Consider the following 23,819-nt stretch of genomic DNA (forward strand, 5'->3'; position numbering starts at 1 on the left):
CTATATGACAAGCTGGAAAAGACAACGATGGAGACAGTAAAATAATTAGTGGTTGCCAGGGGATACAGGGAGGGAGGGATGAACAGGCAGAGCATAGAGGATTTTGAGGGCAGTGAAACTATTCTACATGATATTACAATGATGGATACATGTCATTATACATCTGTTAAAATCCATTTAATGTGTAACACTAAAAATGAACGCTAAACTATGGAATTTGGGTGATAATGATATATCAATGTAGATTTGTTGATTTTAACAAATGTGCCATTGTGCTGCAGAACATCCAGAAAGCTGGGGAGGTGGTGCATGGTAGGGGACAGGAAGTAGAAGGGAACTCTTTATTTTCTGCTCAGTTTTGCCCTGAACCTAAAACACTGCTCTAAAAAGAAAGGGTATTTTTTAAATTTGTTTTTTAAAAAACCCACATACCAAGATACCATTTATTCATCTGATAAAAATCAAAAAGTTTGATAACAGTTCATGGGGAAAAAGGCACTCTTGTATACTGTTAGTCTAAAAACAAAACAGTACAACCTCTATGAAGAGAAATGTGGCAATATCTAACAAAACACATGCATTCACCCTTCAGACCTAGCAATTCCAATTCCAGGAATTTGTTCTACAGATATACCTCTGTGTATGTGTATATATATATATTTGCAGCACTATATACAATAGCAAAACACTGGAAATTCTCCAGTATCCAAAAGATTCCATCTACACGCTGAAATATTATGCTCTGCAATTAAAAAAAAAAATCAAGAAAAGAGGAAACTACACATTGTTATGAAAAGATCCCCAGGATATATTATCCATTGGGGAAGAAAAAAAATAAGATGTGGAATAGTGTACATGATTTGCTATTTTTTGTGTAAGAGGAAGAAGAAAACATATTCATATTTGCTAATATTTTATCTACATTTTTAAAACTTTGGAAAGATAAGTCGGGCACAGTGGCTCACATCTGTAATCCCAGGACTTTGGGAGGCTGAGGTGGACAGATCTTAAGGCCAGGAGTTAGAGACCAGCCTAGGTGGTGGGTGTCTGTAATCTCACTATGAGAACTGCCTGAATCCAGGAGGCAGAGGTTGCAGTGAGCCAAATTCACACCACTGCACTCCAGCCTGGGTGACAGAGTGAGACACTGCCACAAAAAAAAAAAAAAAAAAAAAAACACTTTGGAAACTAACAAACGAACAGGCACAGTGGCTCATGCCACCTAGCACTTTGGGAGGCTGAGGCGGGAGGATGGCTTGAATCCAGGAGTTCGAAACCAGCCTCGGCAACATAATGAGACCCTGTCTCTACAAAAAAATTAAAAATTAGCCAGGCATGGGGGCAAATGCTTGTAGTTTCCACTACTCAGGGAATTGAGGTGGGAGGATCTCTTAAGCCTATGAGGTCAGGGCTACAGTGAGCCGTGATTGTGCCACTGCACTCAAGCCTGGGAGATAGTAAGACGGTCTCAAAACAAAAAACAAACAAGGCCAGACGCAGTGGCTTATGCCTGTAATCCCAGTACTTTGGAAGGCTGAGGCAGGCAGATTGTTGAGTCCAGGAGTTCAGGACCAGCCTGGACAACAAAAACCCCATCTCCACTAAAAAAACAAAACATTAGCCATGCACACCTATAATCCCAGCTACTCAGGAGGCTGAGGTAGGAGAATCACCTGATCCTGGGAGCCTGTGGCTGCAGTGACCAAGACTGCATCACTGCACTCCAGCCTGGGCAACCAAAGTGAGACCCTTTCTCAAAAACAAAAAAACAACTAACAAGCGTAGTTACTTAGAAGGGATATAGGCAGAGGGAACAATAGCGTGGTCAAATGTAAGAGCCAAGCTTCTCAATGTGTATTTAAATTGCTTTGATGTTTGAACCATGTGAATATATATTGTCTTTTCAAAACAAACAATAAATAAAATATAACTTAAAAAATATAAAAGAAACAGACGCTTAGAGTAAGTAGTTAAAGCAATGTATTAAAACCATTGTTTTCATTTTAAAACTAATCTGAGCTCTTTAATCTTTTTCAACATACTAAATACTGAAGATAATTTTTGTTCTTTCAGAATTTTAGCCCCATCAAATTATTGGGATACTAACTTTGAAAATGGATAATGACTTCAGCAATACATTATTATAAAAACACACAACTTGAGAATAATATTTAATAGCTGACTTTTTAGACATCAAATACACAAAACTGATAACTTCACTATAATTTTTAAAAAGTTATCTATTTTTTTCCAAATGGCTCATCAAAGTGAATAATCTCAACCATTTTTCCCCAGTATCCTAGAAAGTCATATCAATGGTTTGTTGAGACATTTTACATCCAAGTCAAATTCTGGTTGAATACTCAAATCAAGATGGCCTAAAAAGGGAGATAATGACAAGCAAGAATGAAGAGAAATAAATGAATCCAGCAAAACAAACAAAAAAATTCACTTACAAAGCCTGGCCCAGTAATGTTCCGTGTAAGAAAGGGATGCAAAAAAAACTCATGCCAAATCTAACAGCTAACATTTATTATTTACTATGTTCCAGGTACTATCACCAAAGTACATTTACCTTTAAAGGCCAATAACACAATTAGAAAACGGAGAGTTAAGGGGGGATTAAACCACATCAATTGATGATCAGTAGAAAAACCCAAAGACCAAAAAAAAAAAAAAACAAAGAAAAAACTTGCCACACAAGTCCATTAAAAAAACTATTGAATCCTTTGATAAATAAGGGCTACAAAATGTTGAAATTACAAATGTTTGATGCTAAACTTGTTGGAAAGGTTTAATAACAGCATATAATCATTATAGTCAACAGTAATTCTGAAATAAAAAGGTATGTTATTTAAAAATATAAATACACACAGACAAAACATATGGCAAAATGTTAACACTATTTTTTTTTTTTTTTTTTTTTGAGACAGAGTCTCGCTCTGTCGCCCAGGCTGGAGTGCAGTGGCACGATCTTGGCTCACTGCAAGCTCTGCCTCCCGGGTTCGCGCCATTCTCCTGCCTCAGCCTCCTGAGTAGCTGGGACTACAAGCGCCCGCCACCATGCCCAGCTAGTTTTTTTTTGGTTTTTTTTTTGTATTTTTAGTAGAGACAGAGTTTCACCATGTTAGCCAGGATGGTCTTAATCTCCTGACCTCGTGATCCGCCCGCCTCGGCCTCCCAAAGTGCTGGGATTACAGGCGTGAGCCACCATGCCCGGCCAATGTTAACACTATTCTTTCAACTTTTCTTTTCTTTTTTTTTTTTTTTTGAGACAGGATCTCACTCTGTTGCCCAGGCTGGAGTGCAGTGGCGTGATCTCGGCTCACTGCAACCCCGCCTCCGAGGCTCAAGTGATCCTCCCACCTCAGGCTCCTGAGTAGCTGAGACTACAGGCTAATTTTTTGTATTTTTTAGAGGTGGGGTTTCACTATGTTGCCCAGGGTGATCTCGAACTCGTGAGCTCAAGCAACACGCCCGCCTCAGCCTCCCAAAGTGTTGAGATTACAGGCATGAGCCACCGCGCCCAGCCTCAACTTTTCTTTATGCTTCAAACTGTTCATATAAAAAGGGTGAAAAAAAAGTATCATTGTGTTCCTATCAGTATTTATGAGTCACAGTATTTCTCTTCAAGAAAAAAAAAGAGACATTTAATTTTTGGAGGCACAAAAAGGAAAACACAAGTGGAAAAAATTGCCTTCTGAATTCATTTTTCAGAGACATAGGCAAAACCTGAAAAGATAAAGTGCTAGACAGATGAAACATATCCACTTTGTAGATAACGACTTCGAATACATCTCTAATAGGTCCTTGTTCATCATTACTTCTGGTTCTTCTTACACTTCTATAATTAATCATACTTTTGAAAACACTAATGGCGCATCATTTTACCGAGGAGAAAGAGGGCATCCTTCTTTGCTTCTTAAAGAAAGACTTTCATTTTTAGGCTTATTTTTAAAACAGTTAAAATGATCAACCTAATGAAAATTTTCATTTCTACATCATCTGTGTCCTTCCAATCACCTTTGTAGGCAAATCCAACTTCAGTGTTTGTTTGCTTACGAACTACATCAAGTACATTTTTCTGCACAAATATCATTAAAAAAAAGAATACTGTCTCACATACAGGATAGACAAGTCCAGGTTCTTGTTGCAAAATATTACATAACAAAGTACTTCCTGTTGAATGAGTAACTGGGTAAAAATATCCTATGTCCTCTGGGACCTCAGAAATATTATCAATTAAGCTTGTGAAAATTCATATAGAGTATCATCAACTCCAATTCATTGTGTAAGAGTTCACTTATATGATCAATTTCACCATCATAAAGTGCTGCTCTCTCTGATAACGTCTGAATTGTGAAACATCTCCCTCTTGTCAATTTTCTTCTCTTTGCCATTATGAACACAGAGTGAAAAATTCTATATTCTTAATTGTGGAAAACGAAAGCTACAAAAAGAGAAAAATAAAAGCTACAAAGATAGAGACTCCAGACTTGTTTTATACCTTCTTAAAAAATGACACAATACTCTGTACAATGCACGAAGAAACAGAAGGATGCTATATACTGATAGTTTATTTCACTACTGCATCATCCTTCTAAGAAACCACATCATTCTTCCACTTATTAGTCTTTTTATTCTAGTCTAGCTGGGAATAATCAATTCTCACTATCTGCAGTAGTTATGTCCTATAAAATCACCATGAACATTGACTTAGCAAATATTGAATCATTGCCCCCGAAGAAAATACAAGGTAAGGTTCCTGCAAGCCTCTGGTCAGAACATTTTTGTCAACTGATAAATACATAATCTCGTTTTAGGGATGCTTCTGTTTTAAAACATCTTATTTAATATGTATTTAAGCACTACACTTTTTTTTTTTTTTAGACCAGGTCTCTCTGTCGCCCAGGATGGAGTGCAGTGGTGAAATTACAGCTCACTGCAGCAGCAACCTCCCAGGCTCAGGTGATCCTCCTGCTTCAGCCTCCCGAGTAGCTGGGACCACGGACATGAGCTACCACACCCCATTAATTTTTTAATTATTTGTAGAGATGTGGTCTCCCTATTTTGCCCAGGCTAGTCTTGAACTCCTGGACTCACGTAATCCTCCCAAAGTGCTGGGATTATAGGTTTGAGCCACAGCACCCGGCCTGGGGACCATTTTAAACAGCAAAATCACCAATAAGATGGGCAAAATATACAAAAAATGTGGCATTAAATATATCACAAAAAGGCCACTTGTTTGTAATGACAGCTAGAACAAAAAGGCAGAGCACTGCCTTGAACCTCCCCTGATAAAGTGCACATCTGCTGACTCAAGTATTTGGCAGTTCTGTGAATGCCCATGTCCAGGAATGACCACAAACTAAAACATTGATCATTTTATATAGAGAACAAAAATCTCTGTTGATGTTTTGTGTTCACGTTAACAGGATCTAGAATCAATAGCTTTATGAAGAGCGACAAGTATATCCACACTGAAAAATTTTAATACTGAGGTCAGAAGGAATATACGTTGTCAAATACCTATTTTAAAGAGATCATTTCAACTCTTTAGTACATGTTTAAAACCACCAGAGATTAAGTTTCAAAATCCTCTGTCCTACCATGCCTCATTAGTTGTTAAAAATACAGATTTCCCCTTCTCTTCTCTCTGAACAACTCAAAACTCTAAACTAGGGCAATGCAGAGTATACCTAAAATCCATGCCTAAAAATTTAACTTTACAGTTCTCAAGATACCATACTATAAAATAAAAAAGATACTGTAGAGCTCCATTCTTACACATGTATGCAGAGAAAAGATTGGGAAAATGATTACCAAATTTAACACTGGTTTTTTATAATTTTTTTTTCTTTTCTTCTTCTTTGTTTTATTAAACAACTGAATGTGCAGTTGAAGTATTTAATGATTTTTTTTTTTTTTTTTCAGACCGAGTCTCACTAACTCTGTTGCCCAGGCTGGAGTGCAGTGGTGCAATCTCAGCTCACGGCAACCTCCACCTCCCAGGTTCAAGAAATTCTCCTGCCTCAGCTAACCACGCCCAGCCGGCACCACCATGTCCAGCTAATTTTTTGTATTTTTAGTAGAGATGAGGTTTCACCATGTTGGCCAGGCTTGTCTCAAACTCCTGACCTCAAGTGATCCACCCACCTCAGCCTCACAAAGTGTTGGGATTACAGGCATGAGACATATATCTGTCCCATTTTATGATTCTGACTTTTTAAAGATAAAGATATTAATCACTTGGGATTAGTGAATAACATCAATGAGTAATTCAGATTTAAATATAACTTTAATATTTAATTATTTAAATAACTTTAAATAATTACATTGCTATTTTGTTGCAGAGAAAAATAACCAAAGGCTACTTCACTCAAGGCATAAACTTCCCTATTACTGAAAAATAACAGTGAAATTATTGTTTAAATAAAACAAAGTGCAACTATTGTTTACTAATACTTTTATATTTATTTTTATTTTTTTATGTTGTTTTTATTTTTGAGAGAGTCTCGCTCTGTTGCCCAGGCTGGAGTGCAGTGGCACGATCTCGGCTCACTGCAACCTCCAGCTCCTGGGCTCAAGCGATTCTCCTGACTCAGGCTCCTGAGTAGCTGGGATTACACAAGTGTGCCGCCATACCTGGCTATTTTTGTATTTTTATTAGGGACGGGGTTTCACCATGTTGCCCAGGCTGATGGTAACTGATACTTTTAAAAGGATCTCTAACATGATGGACTTAACAATCATCACAAACTTTAAGACAAATTCAGAATTAAAGAAACAAACAAAACTAAAACATCAATAAATTAAAATTTTTATTCCCTCTAATTATTACTAATAATTACCAGTAGCAATTTGGAATGGTACAATCCATAGCCAAGAAAGTATTTTAGTGGGTTCCCTGATAAAATCTAAAGTTAATATACACTAACTTATGTGTCTTAGTTGACAGCAAACAATAAAATGTTTATATGAAGAAACATCTAACAAGATTAAGAAATTATTTGTAATGCATATGTTGACAAGTTCATACCCCTTTTATATATTTATACAGAGGAATACAATTAACGTATATAAAGAGCTTATGTGCCTGGCACTAAGCTTAGCACTTTAATTACTTAATCTTATTTAATCCTCATAACACCATGAGGAAGTTATCCTTAAGCTTCACAGATAAAGGCACTAAGTTATAAACATTTCTGTATTTATTGAACCACTGTCCTTTTGTTAATATTCAAATATAACATAGTTATGTTTCAATAATTTACTTCCAAAATATAGTTTTATTTTTACTTAGGGGCATTACAATATCCTTTTTTTTTTTTTTGAGACAGAGTCTCGCTCTGTAACCCAGGCTGTAGTGCAGTGTCCTGATCTCAGCTCATTGCAACCTCTGCCTCCTGGGTTCAAGCGATTCTCCTGCCTCAACCTCCTGAGTAGCTGGGATTACAGGCACCGGCCACCATGCCCGGCTAATTTTTGTATTTTTAGTAGAGGGGGGGTTTCACCATGTTGGACCAGGCTGGTCTTGAACTCCTCAGGTGATCCACTGGCCTCAGTCTCCCAAAGTGCTGGGATTACAAGCGTAAGCCACCACGCCTGGCCCTTTTCTTTTAAAGAAGTACTATCTGGATGTCTATGAACTGCTAAAATTAGTTGCTTTGAAGAGGAAAGAAGGGGTAAAGGTGAAATATAAAGACTCCAACATAATACAATACAGTCATATAGTTGCTTTAGTTCAATTTCTTTCAAAGACAAGCCAAGAATGAACCCTCAGAATATATTAGTAGAGTTTTAAATTTTAAATTTTTCGCTCTAATGTAGCTGATGGTGATCAAGTTCATTAAAACAAGAGTCTATGATCTTCCTTTCCTAAGACACAACCAATAAAATACATTGATCATGTGTTCATTCAACAACCCTGCCCTGAGTTCCTTCTATGTGCACCATAGTATTTCACTGTGGTTTTAGCAAAGACATGTAAGACAAGGTTTTCCACCATCCAGGAGATGACATGGTAGGGAAGATCATTGTAATGGGAAGACAGCGATGCAATTTATTAAGTTATTGAATTCCATGGGCTGTACTTGGTAGTACACAAAATGTGTGACTTGAATTCTTATAAGAGTGACCAAGGAGTAATGATGGAGATGGTACTTTAGCTGGGCAAATTTCAAGACAGAGAAACTGAAATATACCTTGGAAAGATTAACCTGGAATTAATAAGAATGAACTGGAGCAGGGAGATCAGTTAAAGAGCTACTGGCCACAGTTCTCATGTACACCAGTAATAGTCCAGAATGAAAACAAAGAATTTTAGATTGAGAGAGGAGGAAACTAAGGACCCAATAGTTTAAAGTAATTAACTCAAAACGACACAGTTAGCTATTTGCAAAGGAAATTAAAAAACAAGACAGTCACTGAGAAAAATAACCAAAATCTGGCAACTGGGTCAATGTTGGTGCTACGGGAAAGGAAAAGATCCTAAAGTGAATTTAAGGTCTGAACCCAAGTAAGTGCAAGCATTAACAAACAAGGAAAAGGAGTTGTTTTTGCATTTTGTTTTGACAGATAAAGATAGCTAACTGCAATGGCTTCCATTTTAAATGTTCCTTTTTTTGTTCTCCACAACTTAACAGTTTTATACAATTTCAAACATCCATGTAATATATATATATATTTGTCCTTGATTTTCTTGACATATAAATTTCTCTCACAGTCAAGCACTGTATAACAGTGGGTACACAGTTTATCAACAACACACTAAGCCAAAATATTATTCAGATTGGTGTGAAAATAACAGCAAATGCAAAATAAGAGTACAGAAGTATGATCAAACCATGCATTCTACATTTTAAGGTCAGCTCATCATTTTGGGAAGGGCAGGGCTGGTTTTAAAAGTATAACTAACGGTGGCTCATGCCTGTAATCCCAGCACTTTGGGAGGCCAAAGCGGGTGAATCACAAGGTCAGGAGTTCGAGAGCAGCCTGGCCAACATGGTGAAACCCTGTCTCTGCTAAAAATACAAAAATTAGCCGTGCGTGGTGGCAGGCGCCTATAATCCCAGCTACTTGGGAGGCTGAGGCAGGAGAATCGCTTGAACCCAGGAGGCAGAGGTCAAAGTGAGCCGAGATCACGCCACTGCACTCCAGCCTGGGTGACAGGGTGAGACTCTGTCTCAAAAAAAAAAAAAAAGTATAACTAAGTATATTTACTCAAGTGCCTATGATCCTCAAAATATCAGTAAACAAACTACACCTTATTATTTTTTTTTTTCTTTTAAGACAGAGTCTTGTTCTGTTGCCCAGGATAGAGTGCAGTGGTGCAATCACTGCAACCACCACCTTCTGGGTTCAAGCAATTCTCATGCCTCAGCCTCCTGAGTAGCTGGGATTACAAGCGTGCATCACCACACCCAGCTAATTTTTTCTATTTCTAGTAGAAATGGGATTTCACCATGTTGCCCAGGCTGGTCTTGAATTCCTAAGCTCAGGCAATCCGCCTGCCTTGGCCTCCCTAAGTGCTAGGATTACAGGTGTGAGCCACCATGCCTGGCCACCTTATAATTATTAATCATTAAATAACCTTTTTAAAATCAATGATCAATCTAACTTCCATCACGTATGTGCTTCTCACAAGAAAAAAAAAGGCATCTTTAATTCTTTTCTTTTTTGGTCACATTATTGTATCTTTAAAGTCTGAAGGTAAAGGAATCCAATCCATTTTATATCGCTCCAATAAAGCATTACCTCTAAGTACCATAAACAAATAATTTTTTAAAATTTTGGCATAGTCTTTGAATAAGAGCTCTAGTAAGGTTAATTGAAGACTAAAGGCAAAGAAGTACTTCCATGCCTAGCACAATATCAAGGGCACAGCAGGAAGACAACTGTCTGTTGAATAAATGTCTGAACTTCAGGCATAAATGAAAAGATCTGTATTGTATATCTGGAGGTAATTATGAAAGCAATATAGTTTCCCTACAGGACAATATACAGTCATTAGGCAAATATGAAACAGCATAATACCACATTACCGTAAGGCAGACCTAAATTTAAATTCCCACTCTAATATTGGTTTTTCTTCTAGGCAAACACTTATTGAATACTCACCATACGCTAGGCATTGTTCTTTGCACTGTTAGGTTTTATCTTTATTTTTTTGAGACGAGAGTTTCACTCTGTCACCAGGCTGGAGTGCAGTGGTGCAATCTCGGCTCACTGCAACCTCCACCTCCCGGGTTCAAGTAATTCTCCTGCAGCTACTCTAGGAGTTTGGCATGATTATCCTAATTTTAGAGAAGAGAACACCTAGGCACAGAAAGGTTAAGCAATGTGACCAAGAAAACAGATCTAGCAACAGAGCCAGGATTTTTATGTAAGCACTCTAATTCCAAAAAAAAAAAAAATTGAATGGGTAACATATTTACATTGTTTTTTAAAAGGTATGCAGTGAGAGTCTACTATGTATGTTCTCCATCAATCTAACTCTCACCACTTCTTTTCCCACCTCTACACCAACAGTTACCAATGTTATTACTTGTATATATCCTTCCAGGGTTTTTTGTGTATCTATAAAGCAAATGCAAGTGTGTATTTTTCCTTGTTTAAAAAACCCAAAATGTAGCTCTCTATACATTACTCTCTACACCTTGCTCATTTTACTTAATGTATATTAGAAACTGTCTTTAAAAAAAGTTAATACGTATTACTGTGTTTTTAGAATTTTCCTAGCTTTTTCTTTTTCCATATGAACTTGAGTATATATTTGTCTACTTCCCTCAAAAGCCATTTGACATTTTCATTGAGATCATACTAAATTTACAAATTAGAGAAAATTGACGGGTTGATGTGGTTGAGTGTCCCTATCCATAAATGTGGTTTTCATTTGCTCAAGTTTTTTGTGCTCCTCAGTAATGCTTTCAAGTCTTCATCATATAGGTCTTGCACATTTCTTACTACTTTATTCCTGGGTTGTTTTGTTTCTCTCGCTATTATAATAATATTATATATTATAATAATATTATATATTATAATATTATATATTATAACATTATATATTATAATATTATATATCATAATAATATTATATATCATATTATATATCATAATATATATCATAATATTATATATCATATTATATATCATATTATATATCATAATATTATATATCATAATATTATATATCATAATATTATATATTATATTATATATCATATTATATATTATATTATATATCATAATATTATATATTATAATATTATATATCATAATATTATATATTATATATCATAATATTATATATTATAATATTATATATCATAATATTATATATTATAATATTATATATCATAATATTATATATTATAATATTATATATCATAATATTATATATTATAATATATTATATATCATAATATTATATATTATAATAATATTATATATCATAATATTATATATTATATAATATTATATATCATAATATTATATATTATAATAATATTATATTATATTTTGTTTCTCTTGCTATTATAATAATTTGGTTTCTTTTCTTCCATTGTTCTAATTGGCTCTTGTTCCTACTCAGCTTTAATTTCAACTTTGGCAGAATTACTTAATCTTCTGGAGTCTGACTGTTCTCACCAAAACACATACTTTTGCAGGATAGATACAAGACTTTTGGATAATGAATAAAGGATTCAGCACAGTACCTGGCATATAATGGAGGTTTACTGTTATTATTTTTTTAAATCAGCATTATAAGGTGTAAATAATGTTCTTTTTGTTTGCTTGTTTTTGAGACAGAGTCTTGCTGTGTCACCCAGACTGGAGTGCAGTGACACAAATAACAGTGGCACGATCTCAATTCACTGCAACCTCTGCTTCCCGGGTTCAAGCAATTCTCCTGCCTTAGTCTCCCAAGTAGCTGGGATTACAGATGCACACCACCATACCCAGCTAATTTTTGTATTTTTTTTAGTAGAGATGGAGTTTCACCATGTTGGCCAGGCTAGTTTCAAACTCCTGACCTTGTGATCCACCCGCCTCGACCTCCCAAAGTTCTGGGAATACAGGCGTGAGCCACCGCGTCCAGCCATAAATAATACATTCTAAATATTTCAACACTAAATTTCTCTCCAATTATATGGTTTATGTGTTTCTTCACCCTATACAATGCAGTACCAACTTATAATGTGTTCTCTTTTCCCCTTATTCTCAGTTGCAGAGGCTCATTCAACTTCCTAACTGAAAATATGAATAGTTCTATGTTCTGGTACAGGTAACATCAACCACTCAGGCTTCTACCTAGTAACTCTTCAAAATATAAGGTTCATTCCTATTAGAGAGCCTAGTTATGAAATCTATAGCTAAGCAATACTTGGATTAGAAATTACACATATGCTGATTGATCAACTGTACTTTGTATCAATTGTGGGAAGCAATTTAAGATCTACTTTATCCTCGTTATGCCATCCTAAAAAAAAAAAAGTCACAAATGTCTTCTAATAATGTATAGGTAAAGTAGCTAAACTTTCTTCCAGTTGCTTTTCAGATACTCCTAATTCTGCTCTTTAGGACCGCTTTTAGCCTCACCTCTTTCTTCCCCACACCGTTTCCCTTTCACAGAACCAACAGCATTATCGCAAAAGGTGTATTTCCCAATAGCTCTTGCCTACATTGCCCGCATATATACAACTTATAGTTAAAATTACTTCAGCTACTAGTGGAACCAAAAGCAACTTATACCTATGTCATTGCACCTTCTGACTGCAAAAGCTTTGTTTCCAGTAAGACCTGGAGGGAAGTCCTGAAGTCAAACACAGTAATTAAGAATAGGTTTGACACTTTGGGAGGCCAAGGCGGGTGAATCATCAGGTCAGGAGGTCGATACCATCCTGGCTAACATGGTGAAACCCCATCTCTACTGAAAATACAAAAAATTAGCCGGGAGTCATGGCAGGCACCTGTAGTCCCAGCTAATCGGGAGGCTGAGGCAGGAGAATGGCATGAACCCAGGAAGTGGAGCTTGCAGTGAGCCGCAATCGCGCCACTGCACTCCAGCCTGGGCGACAGAGCAAGACTCCGTCTCAAAAAAAAAAAAAAAAAAAAAAAAAAAAGGAATAGGTTTCTGTCAGCGAAAGAATAAGCAAATGGGCTGGGATCAGTGGCTCACGCCTGTAATCCTAGCACTTTGGGAGGCAGAGACGGGCAGATCACTTCAGGTCAGGAGTTCGAGACCAGCCTGACCAATATGGTGAAACCACGTCTCTACTAAAAATACAAAAAAATTAGCCGGGCATGGTGGCGGGTGCCTGTAATCCCAGCTACTTGAAAGGCTGAAGCAGGAGAATCGCTTGAACCTTGGAGGCGGAGGTTGCAGTGAGCCGAGATGGTGCCACTGCACTCCAGCCTGGGTGACAGAGCGAGACTCCATTTAAAAAAAAAAAAAAAAAAAAAAAAAAAAATCTGTATATAAAAATTCAGGTTTACAAAACAGATAGAGGTGGCAACCATTTAGATTACTTTAAATTTACAACGGTATTATATCACCATGTGCCTTAAGCAGTCTTCCAAAAGCACAAAGTTAAGTATTGTTAATGAATTATTAATTACTTAACAGGTTAGAACTGGGAGAAGTCTACAGTTGGAATGTCAGCCTATCTGAACTGAAAATAAAACAAAATCGAAAATAAACACTTCACACATTTAGCCCTGATCTTTCTCCCCACTTACAATACTACATTTCTTACTGCTCACTTAATATTATTAAGTTTACCACAAAATTCACCTTACCAGAATCTTTTAACTTGCCTCTTAAAAGAGAATATTTCTCTTCTTCCTGGATTCCTTATTTCTATACTAATGAATATACTAATCTATAGCTAATGATTCTACCTAGGATCATACCTGGCTCTTTCCGTTACATTTACTATTTATTTCCATCTGGTTACCAAAGCCTGTCCATTCTTTCTGCCTCTCTAAGTCTCCATCATCTACCTGCTCCTTTCTTGCTTTAAAGGACTACCATCGGCCGGGCACGGTGGCTCACGCCTGTAATCCCAGCACTTTGGGAGCCAAGGCGGGCAGATCACGAGGTCAGGAGTTCGAGACCAGTATGGTCAACACAGTGAAACCCTGTCTCTACTAAAAATACAAAAAAAAAAAAATTAGCCGGGTGTGGTGGTGGGTGCCTGTAATCCCAGCTACTCAGGAGGCTGAGGCAGGAGAATCACATGAACCCGGGAGGCGGAGGTTGCAGTGAGCTGGGATCGCACCACTGCACTCCAGCCTGGGCAACAGAATGAGACTCCATCTCAAAAAAAATAATAAATAAAAAATAAAGGACTACCATCACAGCCTAACTATTTCTTTACCTCCAATTTCTCTCCCTTTCAACCTTTCCTTTATAAATCCATGGTAATTCCCATTACAAACTATGAGTGAATAGATATTCACCAAATTAAATTCAAGCTCCTTAATTTATTTCTACAATCTGACCTCAATTTTGCCTAACCTTCCTGCTCACTATTCTCAAGACATCTCAATTACATGGACTACTCTTCCCTTAGTAAGCCTCAAACTTGCCTGTTGCCATCTGCTTAGTATACTATCTCTACACAGCACTCTTGTTTATACATCCTGTAACACTTAGCATATTTTAATTGCCTTTCTATTATTTGTGCATTTGTTTTCTATTCCCTACTAGATCATTAAATGATATTCATCATGTTGTAATAGAAAGCTTGTCATACATTTTATTTATTTACTTTATTATTTATTTTTTTAGTTGGAGTCTCGCTCTGTAACCCAGGCTAGAGTGCAATGGCATGATCTCAGCTCACTGCTACCTCTGCCTCCTAGGTTCAAGCAATTCTCCTGCCTCAGCCTCCCGAGTAGCTGAGACTACAGGCACACCACCATGCCCAGCTAATTTTTCTGGTTTTTTAGTAGAGACGGGGTCTCACTACACAGGCCAGGCTGGTCTTGAACTCCTGACCTTGTGATCCACTTGTGTCAGCCTCCCAAAGTGCTGTGATTACAGGCATGAGCCACCGCACTCAGCCTTGTCATACATTTTAAAAACTTTCATTTACAAATATCTTATGTGTATAAACTTCATAAAATGAGACACAACTGTGCTTAAAAAATAAATTCAGTTCTCACTCCTTAAAATTAAAGATGTTCTTTTTCCTAAATAAATAAACAGAGGTAGGTCAGGCGTGGTGGCTCACACCTGTAAACCCAGCACTTTGGGAGGCCAAGGCGGACAGATTACCTGAGGCCAGGAGTTTGAGACCAGCCTGGTCAACATGGCAAAACCCCGTCTCTACTAAAAATACAAAAAATTAGCAGGGCATGTTGACGGGCATCTGTAATCCCAGCTACTCAGGAGGCCAAGGCAAGAGAATCACTTGAACCTGGGAGGTGGAGGCTGCAGTGAGCCAAGGCTGCACCATTGCACTCCAGCCTGGGCAACAAGAGCGAAACTCCGTCTCAAATAATAATTAAGAAACAGAGGCTGGGCATGGTAGCTCATGCCTGTAATCTCAGCACTTTGGGAGGGCGAAGTGGGCAGATCACTTGAGGCCAGGAGTTCTAGAACAGCCTGGTCAACATGGCAAAACTCCACCTCTACTAAAAATACAAAAATTAGCCAGGGATGGTGGCACACGCCTGTAATCCTAGCTACTCTGGAGGCTGAGGGGAATCGCTTGAGCCCAGGAAGCAGAGGTTGCCGTGAGCCGAGATCATGCCACTGCACTCCAGCCTGGGCGACAGAACAAAACCCTGTCCCCAAAACATAAAAAATAATTAAAAGAAAGAAATAGGCCGGGTGCCGTGGCTCAGGCAGGTAATCCCAGCAATTTGGGATGTCGTGGCAGATGGATCACCTGAGGTCAGGAGTTCAAGACCAGCCTGGCCATCATGGTGAAACCCCATCTCTACTAAAAATACAAAAATTAGCCAAGTGTGGTGGTGCATGCCTGCAATCTCAGCTACTGGGGAAGCTGAAGCAGGAGAATCATCTGAACCTGGGAGGCGGAGGTTGCTGTGAGCCAAGATGGCACCACTGCACTCCAGCCTAGACAATAGGCAACAGAGTGAGATTCTCTCTCAAAAAAAAAAAAAAAAAGAGAGAGAGAGAAAAAAAGAAAAAGAAAAAAAGACATAAAAACTAAATTGATATATATATGTTCATTGCAGTATTACTTATAACAAAAATCTGGAAATAAATTCCAAAAAATAGGCTGGGCATGGTGGCTCACACCTGTAATCCCAGCACTTTGGGAGGCTGAGGCAGGTGGATCACAAGGTCAGGAGTTTGAGACCACCCTGGCCAAAATGGTGAAACCTTGTTTCTACTAAAAATACAAAAAATTAGCTGGGAGTGGTGGCACACGTCTGTAATCCCAGCTACTCAGGAGGCTGAGACAGGAGAATCGCTTGAATCCAGGAGGCAGAGGCTAGGGTGAGTGGAGATCGCGCCATGCACTCCAGCTTGGGTGACAGAGCAAGGCTCCATCTCAAAAAAAAAAAAAAATCCAAAAAATAGAATACTTAAATAAATTTTGGTACATCTAAATGATGAAATGTTAATTATATTCCTAAATATTCCCAATATTCCTAAAACTTTAAAACATGGGAAAATGCTAAATTATTATCGGGGGAAAAAAGTTGAGATACAAGAACACATTCCCAGTTTGTAATCAGAAACATATATGAATATAGAAAAGGTCTCAGGTGACAATACTATTTACCTATGCATGATGGCATTATAGTTTTTACTTTCCTATGTATTAGTAATTCTCTACCAAGAACATGTAATACTTTTATAATAGAAAACAATTATGAAAAACTAAAAATATGTTATTTCAGAATAGTATAACACCTAGCAAAGGAATAAAATGAGGCAAAACTTAGATATGAATAAAAAAGTAATTAATATATTTTCAAATAATTTGTGAAAAGCCCATTCTAAAGGATTCCAGAATGTCTTATGGCCAAGAAAGGCTAAACCAAAATTCTGCCATGCTAGAAATGAACACAAAAGAGTAAATCTAGGCAAATAAAACTTATGGTTTAAAGAATAAGCCACCGAAATGCAAGAAATTTCCCATTAAAACAAAAACAAACAAACTCTAATAAGGCCTGGCGTGGTGGTTCATGCCTATAATCCCAGCACTTTGGGAGTCTGAGGTGCGAGGATCACTTCGAGACCAGCTTGGGCAAAAGAGTGGAACCCTGTCTCTATAAAAAATACAAAAATATGCTGGGCATGGTGGCATGCACATGTGGTCCCAGCTACTCAGCAGGCTGAGATAAGAGGATTCCTGAACCCAGGGAAGTCGAGGCTGCATTGAGCCACGATTTAACCACTGTACTCCAGTGACAACAAGATCCTGTCTAAAAAAACAAAACAAAACTCCAATAAAATGTCTGTATAATTACACACAGCATAGGTTTTTCTCGCATATAAGGTAATTATCATAACTCATTACAATTTAAAATTAATTATTGCCTTTTAAATTTCATCAAAATGAAAAAAAAAAATCCAGGGGAACAGAAAGAAGGTCAACCATGAGCTCATTAATATAGTTTCCTCATTAGTGTTACCCATTTTTCTACTAACATTATCCAAGCCCAAATAAACTCTTATATAAACATTTGAGTACACCTCCTCTATTAGATTCTTTCATACATATCCCAAGCACTTGATATACTTTATAGCCTAGGAATACAGAAGTAACTTTTGTGTCTTCAAAGCAGTTTTAAAAATACATGCCTTTGTGAGAAATGAGCTTTAAAAACAGTGCTACATTTGTATGATATATTGGGAATACAGAACCTAAGAATCTTTACTAAGGAGATAATGGTAACTAGACTACCTAGACTGCCATCTGCAACAAGAATCTGCTAAGTACCCAAATTGTAAAACCAAATCTACCACACTGCTGATCTTTTAAGGAAAGTATGTGGCTCACTTCTAATCATGTAAAAACACTAACATACCCAAGAGAAAATCACTGGTTCCAAGTACTTTAAAGAAGTTTCCCTTTGTTAGACTGCTCAGATTAGGCATCTACTGCTATTTTTGTCTTCTGTGTAGGTTTTAAGAGTTTTATAAAGCATCCACCAAACCAATGCATCTTAGAGAGAGATGCATGTATCTACATGGCGGACTTTATACAACATAACTAATCCAAGTTCCAAGGTTAGCCACCAAATCAATTCTGCAAGTCAGTTACTATGGACCTTGGCTTGTAGTACAGCATAGCAGTTAGACAAGGGGATATATACAATATATAACAGAAAAGAGAAAAGACTGGGCATTACCATAGTTAAGTTTCTGTTCGTTTGTTCAAATATTCTTCATACCACACAGAGTTATACTGAAGTATCAAAGTGGTATCAGAATGTAAGCATCTTGGTAAAATAATGATTTAACAGGCCATCAAATCGAATGGCAGGGAAACAATCTGTGCACTAGTATTTGACCTGCCTCAAACAGAAGATATTACTGTAAATAATTCTAAACATAAGCACAATTTAGTGAATAAGGTAGGAGACTGGTAGACTCTAACTTTCAGATTCAACTTATAGCTGTTCACCAGTCATCTGCTATTTTGACAAGTTACTTACCAACGTGTGCTGCCATTTCTCCGTAAATTTATCCCCTAAGATGAGGATAATTCTTGCAAATTGTGTCACAAGCATTTTGAAAGGAACCATGAGTTATTGTGTAATGCTCTTGAAATTCCTCAGATGTAGGGTCCTACACAAAGTAAAGTATTATTATACATTTCTCTAACGGTAGTCATCTGTTTGCATTATGATTTTTTTTCCTACCCTTGACACTGTGATTCTTGGGCACTAACCTTTCTCAAAGTAAAGCGTTCAAAGCAAGCCTCCACTCCTGACCCAAGTAATTACTTTTTTCAAATCTATCATCCACATCTTTCTCTTCCTTAGAAGGTATTGTGAAAACCGGGAGTTATAAAACGCAATGAGCTTCTTTGGTTTAAATGTTCTGGTTCAGTAAGAAATGTGTGGGATAATCTGGTATTTTTATTTTTAACCCACCCTTAAGTGAGTAACTTTATTTCCCATAGTTATATTTTCCTATATTACTTTTTAAATTTCAACTATATTTTAAGGAGCAGCTCGTTTATAAATTTGTTTTATGAACAGAGAGAACAGGTCAGAAAAATGAAGAAGCAAGAAAGGCAAGCCAAGTAATCACTACTATGTGACCAAAATGCTTTTATTGGAATGACTCAACAGTAGAAATTACCATTCGAGGATATGGAAAACAAAGAATCAATGCTCATCATCTTTAAAAAGAGTTCAACATAAACCACAATAAATTTTATCATACTATTAAAACTATTACCTATAAACTCTGCCAATCGAGTTAGTCTTCCATTCAGTAATACACTATACATATTTGAATTTTTTAGCTTTTGTTGGTACAATATTACATCTTGAAAATAGAACTCTCGATCTTCTTATCAGTTCTTAAAATGATTTTTAAGTTTGTGTACAAGGGGGAAGACAATAAAATATGCTGTCTTCATTGTATAAGCTTAGTTATAAGATAGTAATTTTTTAAAGATTTTTCTTGGCTGCCACAGTAGCTCATCCCTATAAATCCCAGCAATTTGGGGAAGCCAGGACAGGAGGATAGCTTGAGGACTGGAGTTTGAGACCAGACTGGGCAACATAGGGAGACCCCCTTCTCTAACAAACATAAAAAAATTGGCCAGGCCTGGTGGCTCATGCCTGTAATCCCAGCACTTTGGGAGACCGAGGTGGGCAGATCACCTGAGGTCAGGAGTTCGAGACCCCCCTGGCCAACATGGTGAAACCCTGTCTCTACTAAAACTACAAAAAAATTAGCCAGGTGTGGTGGCACACACCTGTAGTCCCAGCTACTCGGGAGGCTGAGACAGGAGAATCACTTGAACCTGGGAGGTGGAGGCTGCAGTGAGCAGAGATCACACCACTGCACGCCAGCCTGGGTAACAGAGCAAGACTCCGTTTCAAAAAAAAAAAAAAAAAAAAAAAATTAGCCAGGCATGGTGGCACATAAGTGTAGTCCCAACTACTGGGGAAGCTGAGGCAGGAGGATCACTTGAGCCCAGGAGTCCAAGGCTACAGTGAGCTATTATCACGCCACTGCACTCTACCCTAAGCAACAGAATAAGACCCCATCTCAAAAAAATATAAAAAATAAAAAACCCTCAGAATTACAATAAAATACTGATGGAAACCAGCTTCCTCAAAGGTGAACAAATATTCTTTTACCTTCTAAATGTAGCAAAGGAAAAGATTTGTGAGATTAAGGATAAAAACCACAAGATTTAGGGTGGTCTCAAGATGTGCTAGCCAAGTGACCCTATTAGTCTCTTAATCTCTTTTAACCTCAGTGTCCTCATCTGTAAAATGCGGACCATGATACCTGCCTTAGCTACATACAACTGTTGTGAGAATTAAATGAGATACTCCATTTGAAAGAATGTTGTAAAACACAAAAAACTGTTTTTTAGATAACAGGGCTTGTTTTTAAACAGAACACCACTTTATTTACAAATTATGGTCACAGAACAGTTTAGTACTGTTTCTAACATGAAACAAATGGAAATCAATGTGCAAAACATAACCATGGTCACCAAATTATACCTATGATTAGATACACAGTAAGAAAAGGATCTTGTAAAGAAAAGTATACTTCCCATACTTAAAATCTTCAGAACTGAATTTGAAAGTATAAAAAAACAACAATTCATTTAAATGGATTGGTCTAGCGCACTGAAGATTAAATATATTTGTTAGCTATAAATTTAAAAATTGAGACATTAGCTTAAAAAGTATTTTAAAGTTCTTATGAAGAAAAAAACATGAAAGTGAAACAGACATTCACTTCTCTGGAAATAATTCAGAAAAGCCAGTAGTGATAGAAAAGGACATACATATACAAGACAACAGAGATGAACATGAACATAATCTGCACCTTTAGTATAATAAAGGAATTCAGTTAAATCTTTCTGTGTGGTCCCTAAAAAGTCCAGAACAGAAACACCTCTTTTCAATAGGCCACAGGTTAAATCTATTCACTACATTGTCAGGCCAAGTCCTCCAGTAGGTTATTATGAATCTCGAGAATAATTTATCCTTAATAAGGCTACCTCTTTCTCCTTCATTCCTTATTAGTTATGGAATATGTATATTTATAAAGCCAACCTATGTAAAGAAACAATTCTTAGTTCCCTCCATTCCATGTGCTTTCTGACACAAGTTTAAAGTTCTTGTGAAGTCAGCTGGGCACGGTGGCTCACGCCTGTAATCCCAGCACTCTGGGAGGCCAAGGCGGGCAGATCACAAGGTCAGGATATCAAGACCATCCTGGCTAACACGGTGAAACCCCGTCCCTACTAAAAATATAAAAAATTACCCGGGCATGGTGGCACGCCCCTATAGTCCCACCTACTCGGGAGGCCGAGGCAGGAGAATCGCTTGAACCTGGGAGGCGGAGGTTGCAGTGAGCAGAGATCGTGCCACTGCATTCCAGCCTGGGCAACAGAGTGAGACTCTGTCTCAAACAAAACGAAACAAAACAAAACAAAACAAAAACCTCCTGGGAAATGAACTATGTTTATTACATTGTCCCAGAAATATAACCAACTTGCTCAATTACCAGAAGACTTTAAAATAAATAAGATCCAACAACTTTTTATCTTTTAATCCAGTCCTCAAATTCACAAATTTAAAAAGGGGTTGGGGAAATGACACAAATCATTAACGAATTATTCCAAATATAAATAACTTTAGTTAAAAACATTCTTAAAATTTAGTTAAAAACATTATTTAAAAAACATCTTAGGCCAGGAGCAGTGGCTCATGCCTGTAATTCCAGCACTTCGGGAGGCCAAGGCAGGCGGATCACCTGAGGTCAGGAGTTCGAGACCAGCCTGGCCAACATGGTAAAACCCCATCTCCATTAAAATATGAAAAGTAGCCAGGCATTGTGGTGGGCGCCTGTAATCCCAGCTATTCGGGAGGCTGAGGCAGGAGAATTGCTTGAACCTGGGAGGCAGAGGTTGCGGTGAGCCGAGATGGCGCCATTGCACTCCGGCCTGGGAAACAAGAGCGAAACTCTGTCTCAAAAAAAAAAATAAAAATAAAAATAAATAAATAAATAAATATTCAATCAAAGCTGAGATTAAAAGATGAAGTTCCTATCACAGCAACTACTACTTTTTGAACTTGTTTCTCTTCCCTCTGAAACCTAGGTTCACTTCAATATATCATCGAACCAGAACTTCTGATAATAAAAAGCTTTTCTCAGGATCAGGACCCCCCCCTTCTACAAAACTATTTCAGCTCCAGACTTATTTCCTAGCTGTTTATGTGATCACCAATAGAATTAAATGTAAGCCTTCATTTTCTCCCAGAAATCTTACTTTAATTCTATCCCATAATATTTCCCATCATTTAAATGTCCTAGGCTCAAAGTGCATGGCACATCATGTCTAATTTCCAGTTCTCTCCAGTTGTTCATGTATACCTTAACTCCCAACCCAGACTCTAAATTTCTCAAGACAAAGCTAATGCCTGTCACTTTTCTCTTCCACAGGCTGTGGTGTAATCGGGACAACAATGAGGCAATCCTAAAGAGGTATCCCAAATTAGGGAAACCCACTGCCCCAACTTTACATTACCAAATAATGGTTCCAGGATGAATCAAGATGATATAGATGTCACAGTGCAATCATCACAATGTCAACATGACCACAAAGAAGCCTATTCTAGCTAGTTAAGTTTCTCAGAATCTCATCTATACAGTTGGAGGCTGTTCCTGGCACTATAATCATTATACTACTAGTACACAGTGTCTACCTCTAACACTTAAACATTTTAAACCTCAGTAGACCTAAGTAACTATACTGGCAATTTCTATGTGCTGGCTTTTTACTTTCTACTTGCCCTATGGCCTTTCAGAAATTATTAAAGTAATACAGAGAGATGTTCAGTTATTTCTATGGGGCATGCTAAAGTACAAAGAACAGCAGTAGCCTCCGTACCATGAAAATCTCAACCTGAGGCAGCATTCCAAGCTAAGCAAAAATAGTAAAGGGCCCATTTGTCTCTGGAGCAGAGACAATCATCAAATGCGTATCAGTAAATTACCATTCATTTCTACCAATATGACCACCTCAATGCCTGAGATCATGAAAATCTGGTAGGAATCCATAAAATGTTCTTAGACAGGTAGAGTACAAGAAAGCTGCCATTTACTTTGAGTTCTGCAAGAATTAAAAATCTATTTTATGAATGTCACTATCATTTATCCAATAAAAAATAAATTACAAATTAAGGCAGAAGAAAATACACTAAGACCTTAACCACAAAGAAAGGATGAAAACGATACAGTATTTGCAAGTTAGAAAAGTGAGATTTGGCATGGTCGTGAGATGATGTGAAGGATGAATCGTGCCTTAATTTAATGCCTGAATATCTTAGATTACATTAATCTCTCAAAAGCTGAGTAACAACAGAAACCACCTAATTAATAAACTGATAAAATAACTGCCACAGAAAATACTGAAGTGCCATTATTGTTACAGTTAAAATAAACAGTAAGTCAGTATAGCTGCAGTCTCATCTGAATTTACCACCTGAAATCATTAACTTTTAGTTATCATAATTGAAAGCAAAACTCACATAACAATGATACTCCTAAATGTAGAAATATTTGATTTTAAAATACAATATCCAGGAACAGAACATGAAATGTGACCAAATTCCTCAAA

General features: G+C 37.3%; 1 protein-coding gene across 23 annotated transcripts in view, besides 1 other annotated feature; it reads right to left on the reverse strand.

The window, feature by feature from the left end:
* Positions 1-23,819, reverse strand: part of HERC4 (HECT and RLD domain containing E3 ubiquitin protein ligase 4) — a 153,379-nt gene that overhangs the window by 126,532 nt on the left and 3,028 nt on the right. For 3 of the 23 annotated variants that reach the window (XM_047424997.1, XM_047424996.1, XM_047424995.1), the window contains exon 2: positions 18,649-18,781. The exons of 19 other annotated variants lie outside the window; for them this stretch is intronic. In XM_047424997.1, coding sequence (XP_047280953.1) covers positions 18,649-18,664 — 16 coding nt within the window. In that variant the 5' untranslated portion in view covers positions 18,665-18,781. Of the gene's footprint in view, positions 1-18,648; positions 18,782-19,252; positions 22,164-23,819 lie in introns of those variants that run through there. One more of the 23 variants, NM_001278187.2, reaches the window with a different exon arrangement.
* Positions 4,082-4,282: a silencer, noted in NCBI's record as "peak985 fragment used in MPRA reporter construct". NCBI's record gives its function as "represses an SCP1 promoter by STARR-seq MPRAs in K562 erythroleukemia cells {active_cell/tissue: K562}" and the evidence as "EXISTENCE:reporter gene assay evidence [ECO:0000049][PMID:32103011]".

The sequence above is a fragment of the Homo sapiens genome, chromosome 10 (assembly GCF_000001405.40).
Source record: "Homo sapiens chromosome 10, GRCh38.p14 Primary Assembly".
NCBI lineage: Eukaryota > Metazoa > Chordata > Mammalia > Primates > Hominidae > Homo > Homo sapiens.